Source organism: Homo sapiens, chromosome 4 (genome assembly GCF_000001405.40).
Source record: "Homo sapiens chromosome 4, GRCh38.p14 Primary Assembly".
Taxonomy (NCBI): domain Eukaryota; kingdom Metazoa; phylum Chordata; class Mammalia; order Primates; family Hominidae; genus Homo; species Homo sapiens.
The window spans coordinates 139,010,688-139,033,323 of record NC_000004.12 but is presented as its reverse complement, the minus strand read 5'-3'; the positions used below and the strand labels follow the sequence as shown (position 1 = coordinate 139,033,323).

At 46.0% G+C, this 22,636-nt stretch overlaps 1 protein-coding gene and 2 long non-coding RNA genes across 3 annotated transcripts in view, besides 7 other annotated features; 2 read left to right on the top strand and 1 right to left on the bottom strand.

Annotated features, from left to right (window-relative positions):
* NOCT (nocturnin) overlaps positions 1-17,543 on the bottom strand; it is a 30,159-nt gene extending 12,616 nt beyond the window's left edge. The window contains exon 1 of the mRNA NM_012118.4: positions 17,153-17,543. Within this exon, the coding sequence (NP_036250.2) occupies positions 17,153-17,342 (190 nt within the window). The 5' untranslated portion in view covers positions 17,343-17,543. The remainder of the gene's footprint in view (positions 1-17,152) is intronic.
* Positions 404-5,221, top strand: LOC124900780 (uncharacterized). Its single transcript, XR_007058274.1, has 2 exons — positions 404-4,030; positions 4,975-5,221. It is a non-coding gene; the product is annotated as an uncharacterized LOC124900780 (long non-coding RNA).
* Positions 1,747-2,571: an enhancer, noted in NCBI's record as "H3K4me1 hESC enhancer chr4:139951907-139952731 (GRCh37/hg19 assembly coordinates)". NCBI's record gives its function as "activates a minimal SCP1, AML or CMV promoter by ChIP-STARR-seq in primed H9 embryonic stem cells {active_cell/tissue: H9 hESC(primed)}" and the evidence as "EXISTENCE:reporter gene assay evidence [ECO:0000049][PMID:30033119]".
* Positions 4,774-5,274: an enhancer, noted in NCBI's record as "H3K4me1 hESC enhancer chr4:139949204-139949704 (GRCh37/hg19 assembly coordinates)". NCBI's record gives its function as "activates a minimal SCP1, AML or CMV promoter by ChIP-STARR-seq in naive H9 embryonic stem cells {active_cell/tissue: H9 hESC(naive)}" and the evidence as "EXISTENCE:reporter gene assay evidence [ECO:0000049][PMID:30033119]".
* Positions 17,104-17,403: a silencer, noted in NCBI's record as "silent region_15693". NCBI's record gives its function as "represses an Ori minimal core promoter by ATAC-STARR-seq in GM12878 lymphoblastoid cells {active_cell/tissue: GM12878}" and the evidence as "EXISTENCE:reporter gene assay evidence [ECO:0000049][PMID:35858748]".
* Positions 17,544-17,893: an enhancer, noted in NCBI's record as "active region_21917". NCBI's record gives its function as "activates an Ori minimal core promoter by ATAC-STARR-seq in GM12878 lymphoblastoid cells {active_cell/tissue: GM12878}" and the evidence as "EXISTENCE:reporter gene assay evidence [ECO:0000049][PMID:35858748]".
* Positions 17,926-18,847: an enhancer, noted in NCBI's record as "H3K27ac hESC enhancer chr4:139935631-139936552 (GRCh37/hg19 assembly coordinates)". NCBI's record gives its function as "activates a minimal SCP1, AML or CMV promoter by ChIP-STARR-seq in primed H9 embryonic stem cells {active_cell/tissue: H9 hESC(primed)}" and the evidence as "EXISTENCE:reporter gene assay evidence [ECO:0000049][PMID:30033119]".
* Positions 17,926-19,183: a biological region, named in NCBI's record as "P300/CBP strongly-dependent group 1 enhancer GRCh37_chr4:139935295-139936494".
* Positions 17,984-19,183: an enhancer, noted in NCBI's record as "P300/CBP strongly-dependent group 1 enhancer chr4:139935295-139936494 (GRCh37/hg19 assembly coordinates)". NCBI's record gives its function as "activates an origin of replication core promoter dependent on BRD2, BRD4, P300/CBP, MED14 and CDK7 cofactors, with strong dependence on P300/CBP, by STARR-seq in HCT116 cells {active_cell/tissue: HCT116}" and the evidence as "EXISTENCE:reporter gene assay evidence [ECO:0000049][PMID:35650434]".
* The window catches only part of LOC105377448 (uncharacterized), a 192,690-nt gene continuing 190,731 nt past the window's right edge, over positions 20,678-22,636 (top strand). The window contains exon 1 of the long non-coding RNA NR_133945.1: positions 20,678-20,729. This is a non-coding gene — a long non-coding RNA (uncharacterized LOC105377448). The remainder of the gene's footprint in view (positions 20,730-22,636) is intronic.

Genomic DNA, 22,636 nt, shown 5'->3' with positions numbered 1-22,636 from the left:
GCACACTCTCAGCTCACTGCAACCTCCGCCCCCCCGGGTTCAAGCAATTCTCCTGCCTCAGCCTCCTGAGTAGCTGGTATTATGTCACACACCACCACACCTGTCTAATTTTTATATGTTTAGTAGAGACAGGGTTTTACCACGTTGGCTAGGCTGGTCTTGAACTCCTGACCTCAAGTGATCCACCCACCTTGGCCTCCCAAAGTACTGGGATTACAGGTGTGAGCCACTGCACTTGGCCACACTTACTTTTTTTTTGGAGATGGAGTCTCGCTCTGTTCCTCAGCCTGGAGTGCAGTGGCGCGATGTTGGCTCACTGCAGCCTCCGCCCCCCAGGGTCAAGCAATTCCCCTGCCTCAGCCTCCCAAGTAGCTGGGACTACAGGTGCACGCCGCCACCCTCGGCTAATTCACATTCACTTTTTAATTTTCGAGTATCAATCATTAAAAAAAATTCCTTTCATACATAAATACATGTTGATTTCCAGGATTTCAAACCATCTACTTAAGTTTTATGCCTTAATAGGAGTTGCTATTCAGGACTTTAAAAAGATTTTCGAACCTTCACAATAGCTCAATATTCAAAGCTTATTTCCTAAGGCTAAACAGCACAAATAATTTACCCATGTGGCAATTAAGATACTGAAAAGTACCAAATCTTGACAAAACCTCTGCTGAACTCTATTTGGCACTCAAATTGGCTTCAGGTCTAATTTTATGTGTTTGGAAATTTTGGATTTGATTCCACCCATATTTGGCTTCTGCTCACAATTCATTTTTCACAAACACAGTAATTCTCATTTTATTTTTTTATTAAATTTTTTTTTAAAAAAGTAGAGACGAGATCTCACTAAGCGTCCCAGGCTGGCTTCAAACTCCTGGCCTTCAGTGATCTTTCTACCTCAGCCTCCCTAGGTGTTGGGACTGGGCATGAGTCACGGCAATGGGCCAGCCATAACTCTCAATGCAACACACAAGTTACAGAATTCATATAGTTAACAGGCACATTAAATAGCTTTATCTCTTCTGCCTAGTGTCCATTTAGCAACATCACCCCATCCCCCTGCCACTGACTAATTCTATAAGCACATTTTTACATACATTTAAAACTGGATGTCTTAATTCCTTGTACCACTATTGCTAAGCCCTCACTGCTATTTTACTGTATAAGAATATAACTCTTCTTACTTTTATAAACAGCCTTTGAAGAACTGCCAGAGAATTCAGATTATTTAGATTTCTGAAACACAGTAGCAAGTATGTAAACTCCCATTTGGCAATACCTTTACTTTCCTAAAAACCACAAGTGGGAGGCTGGGCGTGGTAGCTCACCCCTGTAATCCCAGCACTTTGGGAGGCCAAGGTGGGTGGATCACCTGAAGTTAGGAGTTCGAGACGAGCCTGAACAACATGGTGAAACCCTATCTCTACTAAAAATACAAAAATTAGCCGGGCGTGGTGGCGGGCGCCTGTACTCCCAGCTACTTGGGAGGCTGAGGCAGGAGAATCTCTTGAACCTGGAAGGCAGAGGTTGCAGTGAGCTGAGGTCATGCCACTGCACTCCAGCCTGGGCAACAAGAGTGAGACTCCCTCTAAAACAAAACAAAACAAAACCCACAAGTGGGCTAATCACAAATATATTTGAATATATGTACACCCTTAATACTACCAATTACTACACACTACTAAAGCAATCTAGGCAGATCACAATTCAAGTTCCTAAGAATGCGACCATAAGGAAAATGGTCGGGCTGCAATGAAACACCTTCACATCAATAATTAGAATGCTGGATGACAACCCCAACAGTCGAGACCCAAACTGACTTGGCCCACCATTCCAAGCACTCCTAATAGCACTAAGGAATCACTCAGGGCAGGCCGGGCGTGGTGGCTCACACCTGTAAACCCAGCACTTTGGGAGGCCAAGACAGGTGGATCACGAGGTCAGGAGATCGAGACCATCCTGGCCAACATGGTGAAACCCCGTCTCTACTAAAAATACAAAAAATTAGCCAGGCATGGTGGTGGGTGCCTGTTGTCCCAGCTACTCAGGAGGCTGAGGCAGGAGAATGGCGTGAACCCCAGAGGCAGAGCCTGCCGTAAGCTGAGATCGCGCCACTGCACTCCAGCTTGGGCAACAGAGCGAGACTCCATCTCAAAAAAAAAAAAAGAAAGCAGTCACTCAGGGCCGACCACTCTCCACAGCTCCACACAGGTTTCCTTCCTCTAGCTGCCCACCAATTGCCTGTTCTAGGCTTTGCCCAAACCATTCAGCGTCTAATTACTTCTCTCACAGTTTGCGTTTAGTATCTTGAAACGGTGGCCTGGCAAAAACGCTGATTAAAAACCAAGCAAAAGCCAGGATTATCTTGAGTACGCACCTGGGAAGCTATGGAAGCTGATCAACCTCCGCCCGAGGAAACCTAGAAGCACACACAACACACAAAAACTAAGCCATCAATGGCACAAGAAGGCATCTCTGAAACAGCAATCCAATGCTGCCATCTACTGGCCATGCGTGTTGAACACCTCACAAAAACTAAGCTAATTTAGCAGCTGATTTTCATTAGCCTTCTTAGAGTAGGTTCCAGAATACCTGGCCATCTTCAATACAAACGAGAATTCACACAAGATAACCACCAACATAAAGCAGCCTGGATGTTGGATATACAATATATTTATTTAATATATATTGAAGGAATCAATAAAGATTCATAGCAACCAGGCTTAGCTCTATGGATCAACCAATGGCTCTCCTTTTCTTATACCTGGCCCATTTCTCCTACTTAGGGTACCCTTGGATATTTGCACCACAATCTCTGTCCTTTACTCATGAGACTTTAAGCCTCCCAAGGGCAGGGACTGTTTCCCTTATTTACCATTTCCCCCAGGATCCAGCCCAGTGCTTTAAACAATGTTAATAAAAGATGGCAAGTGACAGCAAAGTACCAAGAAATTCTGTCAAACACTGATGGAGGACCACCTTTTATTGGTGGAGCATTTTATGGTATACCAAGCATTTTTACTTGCTGTAACCAGTTACCTGCTCAAGAACCTGTTGGCCATTATTTACACCACTTTATAGATAAGAACACTAAGGTTCAAAAGTGTAATGAGGTCCTAAGTCACCATTAAACGTAACTCTAGGCCAGGCGCGGTGGCTCACGCCTGTAGTCTCAGCACTTTGAGAGGGCAAGGCAGGTGGATCACCTGAGGTCAGTAGACCAGCCTGGCCAACAACCCTGTCTCTACTAAAAATACAAAAAAATTAGCTGGGCGTGGTGGCAGCCCTGTAATCCCAGCTACTCAGTAGGCTGAGGCATGAGAATCGCTTGAACCTGGAAGGCAGAGGTTGCAGTGAGCCAAGATTGCACCACTACACTCCAGCCTGGGTGACAGAGCAAGATTGTCTCAAAAAGAAAAAAAGTAACTCTTTCTAAATTTTTGTGAAACTGTGGTGTGCGCACCCATCAGCTAGAAAATCAAAACTCAAACAATGTGACACGTCCCCTGAAGGTCCATCTGGCAAATGAATGCAGCCACCTTCAAATTTTGCATGATGTGGGCTTATATGACATGAATTTCCAGATCCTAGAGACTGGATTCTAAGTGCCAATTTAGGCAGAAGGATCGCTTGAGCCCAGGAACTCGAGACCCGCCTGGGCAATGTAGTGAGACCCCATCTCTTATATTAAATTTAAAATAAAAATAAAAATAAACTAAGTGCCAAGTTAAGAAGGTATTACTTTCTGGCAGGAGTCAAATATTTTAGTTAGTGACCGACCAGTCTCCAAGTCTGTTATTGAGTGCCACTGACTGAATATGACAGGCCTGCCTCGAGTACTGAGCCTCATAGCTAAAGCCTCAGCTCTCTCCAGGAAGTTCGGCCTGCGGTTCCGCAGAGGCAAGAAAGTCTTAAAGCAAGGACTCAAGTTAGGCTGCCTGAATCCAAATCCTGGCTCCACTGTTTACTAATAGGATCCTGAATAACTTATTTACCTCTCTGCTTCTTCATTATCTTCTTCATATAGGTAAGTGTAATCTATTTTATTTGGTTACTGTGAGGATTAATTTAGTTAAACAAGAGGTACTTGGCACATCCTAAGTGATTAGCTAAATGTTAGCTATTCTGTTTCATTCTGTAAAACTCACTTTTTTCCTAGGCATAAAGAGAAGGCTATTATTCAGCTGGGCGTGGTGGCTCACGCCTGTAATCCCAGCACTTTGGGAGGCCAAGGTGGGTGGATCACTTGAGGTCAGGAGTTTGAGACCAGCCTGACCAACATGGTGAAACCACGTCTCTATTAAAAATACAAAAATTAGCTGGATGTGGTGGTGGGTGCCTGTAATCTCAGCTACTCGGGAGGCTGAGACAGGAGAATTGCTTGAACCTGGGAGGAGGTTGCAGTGAGCCGAGATCACGCCACTGCACTCCAGCCTGGGCGACAGAGCAAGACTCAGTCTCAAAACAAAACAAAACAAAACAAAAAGAGAAGGCTATTATTAACATTCGAGATAATGTGCCAGACTGCTTCCATGTATTTTCATTATTCTGTCCCAAATCTGGTGAAGTGGGTATCTGCACAGCTTTCTCTAGATTGAACAACTAGTAAGGGGGCTGGCCCTGGAGAAAGTTACCTGCACCTTGGACTGCTGCTCGTCAGCATCTCCAGCTGTGCTGATACTGCCTCAGGGCAACAGCGATGCAGCTGTCCTGCCTAGCCCCAGGCGCACACAGCAGCCCATTCTTCAGGCCAGAAAGAAACAGAGGTCGAGTTGCACCTCCTCCATCTGTCGACGTCACTGTCGTCACAGCACACACACACTGCCACAGCACAGAGTGTACAAAGCAGTGCCACGACCCGCTTGGCATTACCAGAGATATCAAGTGAAGGTCAGAACTCTCAACCTAACGTGTCTAAAAATACAAGCACCTAGACTGAGTGTGACAATCCAAACAACCTCTCTTTGCCAGGTGGCAGTCACAGACCAGACAAGAAAGCTGAAGCGTCATCCAGACAAGACTGAACCATACCTTCAGCCAGGACAGACTCATATGGAAAAGCTCTCTAAAGAGAAGGGAATCCCCTCCATGATAAATGCTTAGTTTAACATGTTCGACTGGTGCTCAATTGTCTATTGGCTGACAAATCATTTCCACAAGCTGGGCTTTTCTAGCACAATCCTCTGAAATAAAAATGTGAAAAAGCAAAACCTAAAAATCTGGTGATCTCCCATCACTAACATTTCTGGGACACTTGGAAAAATGACGTGTTTTTACAGTGTGAGTGGAAATATGAAACTATAAGGCGCCTTCTGCTGACTGTACAGAGTCCTCTCTAGATCAGGGATCTACCGACTGTGACCCATGAGCTAACTCTGGCAGCATCCTGTCTTTGTGCTGCCTGCAAGCTAAGAAAGGCTTTTATATTTTTAAATGGTAGGGGGAGGGGGGGAACCTTAAGAACAGTAATATTTCATGACATGTGAAAATGATATGAAATTCAAATTTTAATGTTCATAAATAGGCCAGGCGCGTTGGCTCAAGCCTGTAATCCCAGCACTTTGGGAGGCCGAGGCGGGCGGATCACGAGGTCAGGAGATCGAGATCATCCTGGCTAACACAGTGAAATGCTGTCTCTACTAAAAATACAAAAATTAGCCGGGCTTAGTGGTGGGCGCCTGTAGTCCCAGCTACTCGGGAGGCTGAGGCAGGAGAATGGAGTGAACCCGGGAGGCGGAGCTTGCAGTGAGCCAAGATTGCGCCACTGCACTCCAGCCTGGGCGACAGAGCCAGACTCGGTCTCAAAAAAAAAAGTCCATAAATAAAGTTTACATATTGTCTATAGCTGCTTTCACACTACAACAGCAGAGTTGAGTAGCTGCGACAGATATATGGCCCAGAAAGCCTAAAATATTTACTAGCTGGCTCTTTATGGAAAAAGTTTGCCAACCTCTGCTCTAGATATATTAAAATGAGCCTTTAGCCAGGCATGGTGGCATGCACCTGTGGTCCCAGCTACTTGGGAGGCTGGGGCAGGAGGATTGCGTGAGCCCAGGAGGCTGAGCCTGCAGTGAGCTGGCTCTGCGCCACTGCACTCCAGTCTGGGTGACAGAGGAAGACCCTGTCTCAAAAAAAAAAAGAGGCCGGGCGCGGTGGCTCACGCCTGTAATCCCAGCACTTTGGGAGGCCGAGGCGGGCGGATCACGAGGTCAGGAGATCGAGACCATCCTGGCTAACACGGTGAAACCCCGTCACTACTAAAAAAAAAATACAAAAAATTAGCCGGGCGTGGTAGCGGGCGCCTGTAGTCCCAGCTACTCGGGAGGCTGAGGCAGGAGAATGGCGTGAACCCGGGAGGCGAAGCTTGCAGTGAGCCGAGATCGCGCCACTGCACTCCAGCCTGGGCGACAGAGCGAGACTCCGTCTCAAAAAAAAAAAAAAAAAAAAAAAAAAAAAAAGAAAAAAAAAAGGCCAGGGATGGTGGCTCACACCTGTAATTCCAACACTTTGGGAGGCTGAGGCGAGCAGATCACCTGAGGTCAGGAATTCAAGACCAGCCTGGCCAACATGGCAAAAACCCCATCTCTACTAAAAATACAAAAATTAGTTGGGTGTGACGGTGGGCACCTGTAATCCCAGATACTTGGGAGGCTGAGGCAGGAGAATAACTTGAACCCAGCAGGTGGAGTTTGCAGTGAGCCGAGATCGTGCCACTGCACTCCAACCTGGGTGACAAGAGTGAAACTCTGTCTCAAAAAAAAAAAAAAGAAGTATGAAAAATTTTTAAATAATGAGCCAAACATGGTGACACATACCTATAGTCTCAGCTACTCGGGAGGCTGAGGCAGGAAGATCCCTTAAACCCAGGGGTTTGAGTTCAGCCTGGGCTATATAAAGAGACCCCCATCCCTAAAAGAATTGGCCAGGGGCGGTGGCTCATGCCTGTAATCCCAGCACTTTGGGAGGCTGGGATGGGTGGATCACCAGAGGTCAGGAGTTCGAGACCAGCCTGACTAACATGGTGAAACCCCGTCTCTACCAAAAACACAAAATTAGCTGGGCGTGGTAGCGCATGCCTGTAATCCCTGCTACTTGGGAGGCTAAGGCAGGAGAATCACTTGAACCCAGGAGGCAGAGGTTGCAGTCAGCAGAGATTGCGCCACTGCACTCCAGCCTGGGTGACAGAGCAAGACTCATCTAAAAAAATAAATAAAAAATAAAATTGTATAGTCCATTTGGAAGGCAGCTATGCTCACCACTAGTCTATTTGTATATATATCATAAAACCAATAAAAGATGTTTAGTCACTTAAAAAGGAGGGGAAACAATTTTCATATACAAATTCCCAGTGCATTGCTTGAATAGTTAAGGCACATATTAAAAAAAGAATATGTTGCATATCATTGGGCAGGTTGGTTCTAGGCCAAGACAGCAAAGTAGAAAATACATTTACTTTCTCTCCTTCCTAAGATCTTGAAGAAATAAAGTGCCTATATTTAAATTTTTTTTTTTTTTTTGAGACGGAGTCTCGCTCTGTTGCCTAGTCTGGAGTGCAATGGCGCCATCTCGGCTCACTGAAACCTCTGCCTCCCAGGTTCAAGCAATTCTCCTCCCTCAGCTTTCTGAGTCGCTGATGGGATTACAGGCACCCGCCACCACGCATGGCTAATTTTTGTATTTTTAGTAGAGACAGGGTTTCACTATGCTGGCCAGGTTGGTCTGGAACTCCCAATCTGCCCGCCTTGGCCTCCCAAAGTGCTGGGATTACAGGCGTGAGCCACCGCGCCTGGCCTCTTTAAAATTTTTTAAAGAATGCATCAATAACATTGGAAAACAAGAAGGGATGCATGACATCAATGGAGCAAATATTTGGAGGAATTCCAAGAAGACAGAAACAAGTTTGAATTAACAGAGAAACCAGAAGGAAAGGGCAGTACAAGTTACCAAAGGTAAATGTGGTTTTCCCAAGAGCACCTTGAAGAAACTCCAAGCTGAATCAAGAAATAGAAAGGGCAGGAGAAGCTGAGGGGGTAACTGTTAGGGCAATTCGTTCAAGAATGAAAGTGAACGGTGGCACTAGTTACATGTGTCCCCTCTCTCACAGACAAAGCCGGGAAGGGTGGCTTTTGGTTGCTCCATAGAACCAAAGAATACCCCAAAGAAAATGGGTGATAGCCTTAGAATGGCTTGCAAAGGTGAATGGACCTGAAAGAGAAGCAGACCAGATCAGGAGCTAACTCTGAAACTCAAGGATGGTTTTAAAAAGCGGGGAAGGGGTTGGACTGAAGAATATAGAAGGAAACCCTCCTTTCTTTGACAAAGGCGGTAGTTACCAGCCTGCTCCCTCTCACGCATTCAACAAGGAAGCCTGGCTGCCCGTTCTCCAGATTACCTTCCCACTCAGAACATGCAAAACTGGCTGGGCGCGGTGGCTCACACCTGTAATGCCAGTATTCTGGGATGCCGGGGTGGGCCGATCACTTGAGCTCAGCAGTTTGGGACCAGCCTGGCCAACACGGGGAAAACCTGTCTCTACTAAAAATACAGTAACTGTTGTATTACTGGGCCAGGCATGATGGTGCATGCCTGTGGTCCCAGCTACTTGGGAGGCTGAGGTGGGAGGAGTGCTTGAACCAGGTTGATGGAGGCTGCAGTGAGCTGAGATCACGCCACAGCACTCCAGCCTGAGTGACAGAGCGAGACCCCATCTCAAAAAACAAACAAACAAATAAAACAACATGCAAAACTCCCTTCCTCTCCAGGAAAGAGGCCTAAAGGAGAAACAGGCACACACACATCTTGATATATTTAAAGTACGAGAGACATTATAGACACAAAACAGGTTTCTATGAAAAAAGGAGCAATTAAACAACTAGAAATGTCTAGGAATTTAAAATGACTGCAGAACAAAAATTTTCAGAAAATCTCATGCAACAGAGAAGAGATAAAAACACTAAAATATGAATGGAGGCCTGGCTAGGTGCCTCATGCTTGTAATCCAGTACTTTGGGAGGCAGAAGCAGATGGACTGCTTGAGCCCAGGAGTTTGAGACCAGTCTGAGCTGAGACCCGTGTCTCTACAAAAAAATAAAAGTAGGTAGGCATGGTGGAGCACACCTATAGTCCCAGCTACTTCAGAGGCTGAAGTGGGAGGATCACTTCAGCCCAGGAGTTGGAGGTTACAGTGAGCTATGATCACACCAGTGCACTCCAGCCTGGGTGACAAAGTGGAGACTCTGTCTCTAAAATAATTTAAAAAAAAAAAAAAAAAAAAAGGATGAATAGACACGGAGGATAGATCCATATGGCCAACAATCTAACAGGAGTTCAAGAACATGAGAACAAGAGACAATACAGTAGACAACCGATACAAACTTTTAATGTGCTAAGGCATGTCTTTAGATTGGATGGGCGCATCAGATGCTGAGACATTCAACCTGATGGATCTTTTGAATACCAAAGATAAGGAAATCTTGTAAGCTTCTACAGATAATCAATACTCACAATGGTCTTTAAAAGTTCAGAGGCAAGGCCGGGCATGGTGCCTGTAATCCCAGCACTTTGAGAGGCCGAGGCGGGTGTATCACCTGAGGTCAGGAGTTCGAGAACAGCCTGACCAACATGGCAAAACCCCGTCTCTACTAAAAATACAAAAAATTAGCAGGGCATGGTGGCAGGGGCCTGTAATCCCCAGCTACTCGGGAGGCTGAGGCAGGAGAATCGCTTGAACCCGGGAGACGGAGGTTGCAGTGAGCTGACATCGCGCCATCGTACTCCAGCTTGAGGAACAGAGCAAGACTCCATCTCAAAAAAATAAAATATTAAACTAATTCTAGAACTAAGTCTCAGAGAGTCTATTTGACCTACAAGATTTGAAAGATAAACATTTTCCTTCAGCAGACCTTCAATGATAATTAGCATCCATAAAAGCAAAACACACAAGAGGAAATAGAAAAGTATTATATCCCAGGTATTATTAGAATCTGCAGTGTAACTTACTTTGCACCCTGTACTAGACAAGATATTTGCAGTCACAAGCATATTTGCAGATCGGCAAACAGAGCTGTTTAAGTACTGGAACCTCAGAGTTGGAGGAAAGATAGAAAAGGGAAAGGAAGACAGCTAGAAAGGATGCATCAAGACCAAGGAATTTCCCAGATATCCTTCCGGAACAATTCTTATTGTCACTTTGGATGCATCATAACTTCTTTTTTTTTTTTGAGATGGAGTCTTGCTGTGTTGCCCAGGCTGTAGTACAGTGGTACGATCTCAGCTAGCTGCAACCTCCACCTCCCTGGTTCAAGCAATTCTCCTGCCTCAGCCTCCCGAATAGCTGGGATTACAGGCACACACCACCAACACCCGGCTAATTTTTACATTTTTCATAAAGATGGGGTTTTTGCCATGCTGCCCAGGCTGGTCTCGAACTCCTAACCTCAAGTGATTCCCCCCACCTCCTTGGCCTCCCAAAGTGCTGGGATTACAGGCATGAGCCACGGTACCCGGGCAGCATCGTAACTTCTAAGCACTTATTTTCATGGACTTGCCAAGAGCTCAAGAGCAGCCTGGGCAACACAGTGAGACCCTGTCTCTACAATAAATAAAATAAATATTTTCCTTTCTGCACAACTCTCCACAATCCAACAGTGGTCTCTAACTTTTGGACAGGAGAATCACATCACTGAGAGACTTAGAATAGGCTTCTAAGCATTTAGTAAAACGAGCCTCCTCACAGGTGTCCGCCTGTGTTGTCAATATGTGGCTGTTGTCTACCCGGAGCCTATGTCAGAATCAGCAGATGCTCAGGCCCCACTTGGAGATATTAAAATCCAGAAGATCTGAATGGGACCCACGCATTTTTTTATATACTGGAAGGAGAAAAAAATTGTTATAAGGACATTCAAATTGGATGGTACCAATTTTGTTTAGCCTTCTTTCCCCTGGGCACTGTTGCCCACATACCTGACACTGAATTCTTGCTAAGTATTAATATATGATTCAAGTGTTGCTTTGAGGCCACATAGATACAGAGGACAGCTAAGGTTTTCACTTGAGGTCTCACTCCCTCCGTGGGAAGGCTGATTTTCTCCCATTCTAAGAATAACAATAAATAAAAAGTATCTTAGCTGCTTTCCGTGGAAGTCCAAACAGGTTTACTATGAGGCTAAACGCCCAGGCACACTGTCCTTCAAATTTCTAATTATCTACTGAAGTATAACCACCACTTAAGTGGCTATCAAAGCCCTATAAACTCTAATTAGTGGCCGGGCGTGGTGGCTCACACCTGTAATCCCAGCACTCTGGGAGGCCAAGGCGGGTGTATCACCTGAGGTCAGGAGTTCGAGAGGAGCCTGACCAACATGGTGAAACCCTGTCTCTACTAAATACAAAAAAATTAGCCGGGCATGGTGGCGCATGCCTGTAGTCCCAGCTACTTGGGAGGCTGAGGCAGGAGAATTGCTTGAACCCGGGAGGCACAGGTTGCAGTGAGCCAAGATTGCGCCACTGCACTCCAGCCTGGGCAACAAGAGCAAAACTGTCTAAAAAAAAAAAAAACCAGAAAAACTGTAATTAGTCACCAGTGACTCCTGACAGCAAATACAGACGCTGTATCTCCCTTCCTAACTCCAAGAAGCCAGAACACAATTACCTCACTTTTCTTTTAGTAAACATCATAGAAACCTCATTTTACTCTAAGTTGTGACTTAGAGTGACTACATGGATACACTCCCATTACAACCTCAGTCTCAAGTTTCCTCTCACTGAACTTTCATTAATATGCAAATTTCTTCCCTTTTTTTTTTCTTTGAGAGTAGCTGGGATTACAGGTGCGTGCCACCACGCCCAGCTCATTTTGTATTTTTAGTAGAAATGGGGTTTCTCCATGTTGGTCAGGCTGGTCTCGAACTCCCGACCTCAGGTGATCCGCCTGCCTTGGCCTCCCAAAGTGCTGGGATTACAGGCTTGAGCCACTGTGCCCGGCCCTGGAATTTCTTCCCTTTCTTAAAAGCTGCTTTTGGCGGGGCGTGATGGCTCATGCCTGTAATCTCAGCACTTTTGGATGGCTGAGGCGGGAGGATTGCTTGAGCCCAGGATTTCGAGACCAGCCTGGGCAACACGGCAAAACCCGTCTCGACAAAATATACAATTTTTTAAAGCTGCTTTTTTCGGGGGTCAATGTTCTTTCTCAGGGGTCTCTTGAACTGCCTTAGGCCCCAAGCTCAAAGATCCTTTTTTTTTTTTTTTTTTTGAGACAGAGTATTGCTCCTACTGTCGCCCAGGCTGGAGTGCAATGGCGCAATCTCGGCTCACTGATACCTCCGCCTCCTGGGTTCAAGTGATTCTCCTGCCTCAGTTTCCGAAGCAGCTGGGATGTACAGGTGTGCACCACCACACTTGGCTATTTTTTTTCTAATGTAAGTAGAGACAGGGTTTCACCATGTTGCCCAGGCTGGTCTTGAATGCCTCAGTTCAAGTGATCCGCACCTCGGCCTCCCAAAGTGCTGGGATTACAGGCGTGAACCACTGTGCCCGGCCAGACCAAAGGTCTTAAGGCTCTTCCAGAATCCTCTCCAGAGCTTCTCAAGCTTTCCAGGAATAAGTACCTTTGGGGAAAGGAGGGGCAGAGCTCATAAATACTCCCTAATCTTTTTGGAAGAATCCCCTGAGGCACTTGTTAAATATGCACTCCACCGGGCTTCTCCACAGGAAACTGATCAAGCAGAGGGCTGAAAGGCCAGAAATCTGCATTTTAACAACTGTCCCAAATGATTCTGCCTCTACCCCTTTTCCTAAGATGCTTGCCACAGCTCCTGCATGCGAGCGCCACCTTCTTCCAGGCATTGTGTGTGTGGTCTTCTCTGCCTGCCCCCACCACCCCGCAAACTGTCCCCTTCCAAAACACCCTCCTTTTTCACCTATTAGAAGCAAAGCATTTCTTGACAAATTCAGCCACACTGATTTCTTTCTTCTCAACTCCCACTGCAATTAGTCATGTCACCTTTTACATGTACTATTCAATAAAGCTTGTGGATAAATTGCTATCAATTGATCTTATTCATTTGTTCTAGGTAAAGTCTAGTGTTGAGACAGCAAGCAAGGTTAAATGATTTACAAATGTTAAGTGTGTGGAATGTGAATCTGGAGCCATGGTTATTAACCCCAAAGAACCCCAGTTCACCATGTTTAAACTGTTGCCATTGAATGCTAACAGAAAAATCATACATTAGTTTTCCCACAAGGAAAGCAATTTATTCCATAGCAGCTTGATAATGACAAGCTTTCCCGTTTCTTCTCTCTCATAAGCAGTTTACTCACATAGTTAAAGGACATATTAAATAAAGCTGCCTTCTCAAATGAGCTGGTGGCATTTGCCTATAAATTGTACCATGAAAAAAAGCAAATGTTCTAATGGTAGAGAACAGTAGTTCAGCCAGCTCTTCATTCTCTGAGGAGGAGGGATGTGGAGGATAGCATTTATAAATCCACAGATGACTTCCAACTGCGTTTCATCCAGTACAGTAACTGTGGCAACTGCTACTTCTTAGGGGGGCTGCTATCCTTGAGAAAAGAAAGCCAAACACCGAGATCATCCCTAGGGTCACCTTTTAATTCTAACAACCTGGAATCTGATAACTCCAAAGGGACTGTACTTATCTTCCCAATAACTACCAATTGCCAAGGGGCATAAGTTATGCAGGAACTGATTAGCAAATGTGGACAGCTGTCGGGACTCACTACTCCCCACCACAAGGCTCAGGAGTGGAGAGGAGCTTTTGGCCCCTTCAATGTCTCTCTCACATATGGGTGCCAGATGTCCAAATTTGAGGGCATAGAAGAACAATCTGGAGTTATTCTTTTTGTCATTTCATTTGGTTATGTGGAATCCAGGGCCCATCATGAATGACTCAGACTTAATAGGTCTACAGTAGGATCCAAGAATCTGCATTTTAAAAAAGCACTTCATAGGCTGGGCGCAGTGGCTCACACCTGTAATCCCAGCACTTTGGAAGGCCAAAGCAGGTGGATCACCAGAGCTGGGGAGTTTGAGACGAGCCCGGGCAACACGTTGAAATCCTGTCTCTACTAAATACAAAAATTAGCCCGGCACAGTGGCGTGTGCCTGTAGTCACAGCTGCTCAGGAGGCTGAGACAGGAGAACTGCTTGAGCCTGGGAGGTGGAGGTTGCAGTGAGCAGAGGTGGCGCCACTACACTCCATCCTGGGCAACAGTGCGAGAGAACCTTGTCTCAAAAAAAATAAAAATAAAAATTAAAATTAAAAAGCACTTAGTGCTGGGTCTGAGGCTCTTTGGAAAACAATGTCCATTTTTGCAAAGTGCCTCTTCTCTCACCCTTCCTCATCTGTGTGTGTCTCATGCCTTTCTGCATTTACTCCTGCTTTTTCCAAACAAAACGCTTTATAGTAATCTCTTCCAATCCTAACCATGCTTCAAGAGCCAGCTGAAATGCCACCCATTTCTAGAAGCCCAAAAGGGACTTCCTGCTTTCCTGCACCCTTGTGCCATTTCCAAGTCAAGAGAATAAAAGGTGTTTCATTTCATTAAACAGCCATTTCATTGTGCAAATCTCATCTCTTACTGGGCAGTAAACTCCTTAGGGACTGACTAAAGCTCATGTTTTTAACTCCCATAATAAAGCACCTACATTGTGTGAGACATTCTGTAAAGATCTGGAATGAGTGAACAAGCAATGAATGAATCAATGCAGGCATGTTTCTTCCAACAAGCTGCTGAAGCTAAAAATGCATGAACAGGAAAATTGTCTAGACTTTATAGTAACTGCCTACAAAAGTTTAAGTACCATAAAGTCCTTCAATTTCCTTATCTGTAAAACTAGGGGGTTTCAGGGGATTTCTTAAAAGAAGTTCATTAAACACTTTCTTGGGTCAAAAGCCCAACATTCCAATCTGACCTGATATTATTACTCAGATAACAGTAATTACTCAGATAACACAGCCATCTATGTTTTACACAAGCTAACAGTATTCCCATGAGGAGGTACCTACTAACCCTGCCTCTGAGACTTTGAGGGAATTTAAGATATAAGCTGGTACAGAAGACATCACCTGGTTTTCTTTTACTTTTCCTACCTCAAACCTCTAACAATGTTGTTCTTAAAATTTCCAGCAAGAAAAAAGTTATCAGGCAATATACTCATTCTGGCAGTTATTTCACAATGTACCACATTCCTACGAAATTGGGGGTGGGGGTGGGGAATCTAACTGTCAAGTTCACTCTAAGGAACAATATAGTTCAGAATCTCCAGCAACCAATTCAACATCCTAATTTTAAAATGACTAAGTTGGGCATGGTGGCTTCCACCTGCAAATCTCAACTGCTCCAGAGTCTGAGGATAACTCGAGGCCAGGAGTTTGATACTAGATTGGGAAATACCTAAATATCTGCCAACAATGCGAATAGTTTAAAGTCTTGGCTTCAATCACATTCCAGATGACCATTTTTAAAATATATACATTTTTTAAAATTTTTATTAATTTTGTTTTGAGACGGAGTTTTACTCTTGTCACCCAGGCTGGAGTGCAATGGTGCGATCTCGGCTCACTGCAACACTCCGCCTCCCAGGTTCAAGTGATTCTCCTGCCTCAGCCTCCAGAGTAGCTGGGATTACAGGCGAGTGCCACCACGCCCAAGCCCATTGGCCAGGATGGTCACGAACTCCTGACCTCGGGTGATCTACCCGCCTCCGCCTCCCACAGTGCTGGATTACAGGCGTGAGCCACCGCGCCCGGCCTATTTTTTTAAATTTTATAGGCCGGGGGGGCGGTGGCTCACGCCTGTAATCCCAGCACTTTGGGAGGCCAAAGCGGGAGGTTCACCTGAGCTAGGGAGTTCGAGGCCAGCCTGACCAACATGGAGAAACCCCATCTCTACTAAAAATACAAAAATCAGCCTGGCGCGGTGGCGCATGCCTGTAATCCCAGCTTCTCGGGAGGTTGAGGCAGGAGAATCGCTTGAACCCGGGAGGCAGAGGTTGCGGTGAGCCGAGATCGCGCCATTGCACTCCAGCCTGGGAAATAAGAGCAAAACTCCGTCTCAAAAAAAAAAAAAAAAAAAGTTATGTATTGCCTAGTTTTGAAAGAAAAAATTTATCAATTTTTAAAGTATAATTAATTTGTATGTAATTTGTGGCCATGGTAATGTGTGCCCAGGCAGAAACAGAGGTAGCAAAAAAGGAAAACTCAGGGTAGTTATTATGATGTATGAAAACAGCTCTTGGTGAAACTAAGGCCTCACTTTTACAAGATCTTAGATACACAGGACAAAAAATGATGTTAACTATAAAGAGTGGAAGCCTCCAAAAAAAAAAAATCCAAAGAAACGTAAAATGGCCGAGCGCGGTGGCTCACGCCTGTGATCCCAGCACTCTGGGAGGCTGAGGCGGGTGGATCACGAGGTCAGGAGTTCAAGACCAGCCTGGCCAAAATGGTGAAACCCCCGTCTCTACTAAATATACAAAAGTTAGCTAGGCGTGGTGACTGGCGCCTGTAATCCCAGCTACTCGGGAGGCTGAGGCAGGAGAATCGCTTGAACCCGGGAGCGGGAGGTTGCGGTAAGCCGATATCGTGCCACTGGACTCCAGCCTGGGTGACACAGTGAGACTCCATCTCAAAAAAAAAAAAAAAAAAAAAAAAAAAAAACAACGTAAAACGAATCAATGTGTTATTATCACGACTTAAAAAAAAAACTTAATATCTAGACCATGAAAGCTATATAAGCAAATAAGCATCATTTAGATTTTTTTTTCCATAAAAATTTCCGTTAAGTCGTGCAATAAAAAATGTAACCAACATAGTAACTCGCGGCCTCGGAAGGGGGAAATTTAACGGTCAAGAACAAGAAATTCTGAAAGCATGGCCTCTAAGGGTCAAGCGGGAACCTGAATACAGTCTCCCAGTTCTTACTAGCTTTGATGCAAGCCCCAGGCAAGTCGGGGAACAGGGAAAGAGGAAAAAGGGAACGCAGAAGGTTGCTCCGGTAAAGGACCCACTTTCAGGCCAGACTCCACGACCGGCAGCCCCGGGCTTCTCATTCATTCCGCGCGGTCTCCAGGTGGCGGCCGCGCGTTGGCGGCCGTGGCGTTCTCCGCCCGGAACTGGGGTGCACTCACCTGTTCGGGAACACGACCTCGCGGCGCCCGAGGCCGCCGAGGCCGCCGCCAGCAGCCGGGGGGATGCGGGCCTGGGAACAGCAGCCGGCGGGGACAACGGGCGGCGCAGCCCTGGGGCGGGCAGGCGGCGCAGGCCGGGCGCGTCCCTCTGCAGCAGGGCCGAGCAGAGCCGCCGCGGACTATGAAACATGCCGGGCGCCGCCGCCACCACGGCCCCTCGCGCGCCCGAGGAGCGGAGCCCGGCTGGGGCCGAGGGCACCGAGTCGAGCCGACTGTCCGGGCAGTGTGGGCGGATGCTCCCAGGCTCCTTCTCGCGCGGCGCAGGTTCTGGGGAAATCCCGGGCAGCAGAGCCGGAGAGGGAGGTGCAACACCGCTGCGTCGGCACCGTCTGCTGTGAGACCTGGCGAGACCTGCAGGGCGCCCGGCGAGCGCTGCGCGCTGACAAAGCGGGCGCTACCAAGCGGGAGCTGGAGGGGAATCCGCGGGACCCGGCCACTGCGCGGCCACGCCAGGCTCCCTCGACCCGGCGTAATCCTGTTTTAAAAGGAAGCGGGGCTTAGGCTGATTTATAGATAGAATCCGCAGGCGGTCTAAAATAAGAGGTATCCGTTGGAGCTGTTCTGAAGAAAAAAGCGTCCCCTTCCGCTGGCCAGCATGGAAGCGCCCACAGGCTGGGAATCCCGAGACAGTTCCAGGGCTGTGGCCCAGGGGACACGTGTCTGTCAGAGTGGCAGACGGCCTACGTGTGTGCCTGCGCGGGTCTGTGTGGATACAGCAAAAGGCGTCCGCCTCCGACCCCCTCGGCAGTGTGTGATGCGTTAAACGATATTAAGCACAATAAAGCACCGCCTGTGGGCGAGGCGACGATGATTAAAACAGCGTTCTTTTCCTCAAAAGTGTTATACTTAGGCAAAGGGAGCAGAAGGTGGCAAGGGAAGTCAGACCAGAAAGCTCTACAAGGTAGAATGAGATTATTGCCACAAGATGCCAAAGATTGGCTATAGAGATGACAACAGGCCCGGGCTCTCTAGAAGGTTCATTAGAAGGATTGGCATTTGAGTTGGCCTATGACGTGGAGGTCTAGAATTTACCCACGTGAAACTTTGGAGGGGGTGGTGGTGAGTTATAAATGAAAAAAGTAAATAAGGGTGTATTTGGGGAAACAACTCTTAGTCATGTAAGATGGAAGCTAAGGAGTAAGAGGACAGATGCGTGGATAGGTTGTAGTGTGGAAGGAAGGGGATTATAGTAGGCTTAATTCGGTGGATAGCTGCGAGCCGTTGACGTTTTGTAAGCTGAGCAAAGACATGGTCAGGGCTGTGCTTTAATTGGAAATCACATGTCTCTGGTTCATGAAAAGGCAGAAAGGAAATCAGCTGAGATAACAGATACTGTAGACCCGCACCAGGTTACTGTTACTGGAAAAGAAAGGATGGAAGAAACATCTCAGACAGGCTGGGCAGGAAATGATGACTAATCAGGAATAGAAATGGGATGAGGGGGAGGGAAAACCCAAGACTGGATTTTTCTCTGAATGATTCATGAGTTAGAAATGTATTCTATTGGTTTTCCCATGATTTTGCTGATTCCCCTGTGTTGTGGAATTGCAAGCTTTTCATCACAAGAATATTCTAAATATTTTTCAGACCTAGGTTACATATCTAACACCTGTGGATAGAGGGTGTGGACAGATCAGCTGGCACAAGTTGATTACAACTTCTGGCAGACAAGCTCCTTGGAAGTCATTAAAGCCTCAGTTTCAGTTTCCTTATCTATAAAACATAGAATCATACCTTAGTCATTAGGTGAAATAAAAAATGATAATAAGCTACTCTGGGCACACTGTCTATCGAGTAGTCCTGCTCCACAAGGAGCAGTACTTGTAAAAAGAATTTTTTTAAAAAGGTGATAATAAAATTAGCCTATGAAAAGTGTTTTGCAAATATAGCAAAATGTTGATTTTGAATCTAGGTAGTGGGTATATATGGGTATAGGGACCATGGGAAAAATGTTCCCTTTGCCCTCTGAAGTTTGCTGAAAAATCAACTCACAAAAGGCAGATTAATGGGAGAAAAGGCATATGCATTTATTAACATGTACATGGGGAGAATCACAGAGTGATTACACACCCCCAACGGGGTTCAGAAGCTTGTCTACCATCCTGGCCAACAGACTTGGGGAGAGGGGAGCAGAGGCATTCTGTTGAGGAGATGACTAGGGAAAGTGAATGGATCAGGGCACAGGGATGAACTTGCACATTATCTTGTGAAAGGGTCTGTTCAGGTGGTTACATTTTTGGTCTTACAAGGAGGGGAAGAAAAAACAATTGTTCCTTTTGGTGGGTTCGGATTGTAGCCAGATAAAGGAACTTCAACTTCATCCTGTGCTTTGGGAGAGATGGTGCTGGGCAGTGAGGTCAGAGAGACCTTGAGGCTTCCATTCAGCCGGTCAAAGCCCCATATTTTGGGCTATCAGTTTCTGAGTCCCGACACAAGTGTTCACTTACAATTATTTTTCCCCCATATATTTGGAGATTTTCATAATAAAATGTTGGGGAAAAGTGCTTTGAAAAATGAAAAAATAACTGTTCAAATATAAACTGTCACTATTTAAAGAGATTCAAAGAGCATGCTATCCTGAAAGTGCATCATATTATTTATTTTTTTTTTATTTATTTATTTGAGATGGAGTCTGTCGCTCTGTTGCCCAGGCTGGAGTACAGTGGCGTCATCTTGGCTCCCTGCAACCTCCGCCTCCCGGGTTCCAGCCATTCTCCTGCCTCAGCCTCTGGAGTAGCTCTGACTACAGGCGCACACCACCACGCCTGGCTAATTTTTGTATTTTTTAGTAGAGACAAGGTTTCATCATATTGTCCAGGCTGGTCTCAAACTCCTGACCTCAGGTGATCCCCTCGCCTCAGTCTCCCAAAGTGCTGGGATTACAGGCATGAGCCACCACGCTCGGCCTGAATCATATTTTTTATAATATATTAAACACTAAGCAATCAGAAAGATAGAAATTAAAACTTATTCCCTTGAAAATTTATTCAGTAAACATTTGTTGAATACACATTATGTGCCAGGCTCTATATTAGAGCATACAAAAATAAATTGAACAAAATCTATTGACAGTTTAGGGGGTAAGACATTGTATAAACAAAAATACTTGTAATTATCTGCTAATAAGTACAGAATCACTTATGGACAAAGTATTGTGGGACCAGAGAAGAGGAAATGTTACTGGAAAGGGGTCCCAATCCAGACCCCAAAAGAGGGTTCTTGAATATTACACAAGAAAGAATTCAGGACGAGCTCATAAAGTGAAACCAAATTTATTAGAGAAGTAAAGAAATAAAAGAATGGTTACTCCATAGGCAGAGCAGCACTGAGGGCTGCTTATGGCTTTTTCTTTTTCTTTTTTTTTTTTTTAATTGAGATGAAGTCTCGCTCTGTCACCCAGGCTGGAGTGCAACGGCACGATCTCGGCTCACTGCAACCTCCACCTCCCAGGTTCAAGTGATTCTCCTGCTGAGCCCACAGAGTAGCTGGGATTACAGATGCGTGCCACCTCACCCAGGTAATTTTTTTATTTCTATTTTTAGTAGAGATGGGGTTTCGCCATGTAGGCCAGGCTGGTCTCAAACTCATGATCTCAAGTGATCCACCTGCCTCCCAAAGTGCTGGGATTACAGGCGTGAGCCACTGCGCCCGGCCTTGTTGGCTATTTTTATGGCTATTTCTTGATTACATGCTAACTAGGGAGAGGGTTATTCGTGAATTTTCCAGGAAAGGGGCAAGGATTTCCCAGGACTGAGGATTTCTCTGCCTTTTAGACTATATAGGGTAACTTCTGGATGTTGCTGTGCCATTTATAAACTGTCACGGCACTGGTGGGAGTGTCTTTTATCATGTTAATGCATTATAATTAGCGTACAATAAACAGTGAGAACAACTAGAGGTCACCTTCATCACCATCTTGGTTGTTGTGGGTTTTGGCTGGTTTCTTTTTTTTTTTGAGATGGAGTCTCGCTCTGTCACCCAGGCTGGAGTGCAATGGCACGGTCTCGGCTCACTGTAACCTCCGCCTCCCGGGTTCCAGCAATTCTCCTGCCTCAGCCTCCCGAGTAGTTAGGCCTACAGGCGCATAGTAGTCCTACGCGCCTGGCTAAATTTGTATTTTTTTTTAGTAGAGACTGGGTTTCTCCATGTTGGCCAGGCTGGTCTTGAACTCCTGGCCTCCCGAGTAGTTAGGACTACAGGCGCGTAGTAGTCCAACACACCTGGCTAAATTTGTATTTTTTTTTAGTAGAGACTGGGTTTCTCCATGTTGGCCAGGCTGGTCTTGAACTCCTGGCCTCGTGATCCGTCTGCTGAGCCAATGCGCCCGGCCGGCTGGTTTCTTTTTCACATCCTGTTTCATCCGCTGAGTCTTTATGATCTATATCTTGTGCTGACCTCCTATCTCATCCTGTGACTAGGAATCCCTAACCTCCTGGCAATGCAGCCCAGTAGGTCTCAGCCTCTATTCAACATAGAGTTGCTCTGGCTCCAACACCTCTGACAGAAATAACTAATTGCCTAGAGAAGTCAGGAGAGGCGTTTTGAACAAAGTGACTACCAAGTGGAAAGGTATCACAGAGGATATCCACAGAGAAGAGAACACTAAGGCGAGGAAAGAAGGCGTGTTCCAGGAACAGCAAGTGCTGCAATCTGATAAGGGTTGAGTGCGGGATGTCCATAGGGAGTGGCCGCAGGTGAGGTGGAAGCTGTGGGCAAGAACCCAAGGTGACGGGTTTGAGAGGAGTTTGGACTTTCATCCTAGAGACCCAGTGAAAGGCTAAACAGACAGTTTGCATTTTTGAAGGATCATTGGATCTTTCTGCCAGCAGTGTTGAAAATGGGTAAGGACGGTGAAGATGAGGAAGAGTATATACAGGTTCAGAATCTCTGGAGATGGGGTAGGGTATGTAATGGTTGTTTGTTTATTTATTTATTTATTTATTTTTGAAGACGGAGTTTCACTCTTGTTGCCCTGGCTGGAGTGCAATGGCATGATCTCGGCTCACTGCAACCTCCGCCTCCCCGGTTCAAGCGATTCTCCTGCCTCAGCCTCCCAAGTAGCTGGGACTACAGACGTGCGCCACCACACCCAGCTAATTTTTTGTATTTTTAGTAGGGACGGGGTTTCACCATCTTGGCCAGGCTGGTCTCGAACTCCTGACCTCATGATCCACCCACCTCAGCCTCCCAAAGTGCTGGGATTACAGGCGTGAGCCACCGTGCCCGGCTGGTTGTTTGTTTATTATTTAATTTTTTGAGAGGTCTCACTTTGTAATCTAGGCTGGAGTGCAGTGGTGCGATGATAGTTCACTGTAACCTCAAACCCCTGGGCTCAAACGATTCTCCTGTCTCAGCCTCCCAAGCAGCTGGGACTACAGGCATGCACCATCATGCCCAAGTGATTTTTAAAATTTTGTGTAGAGA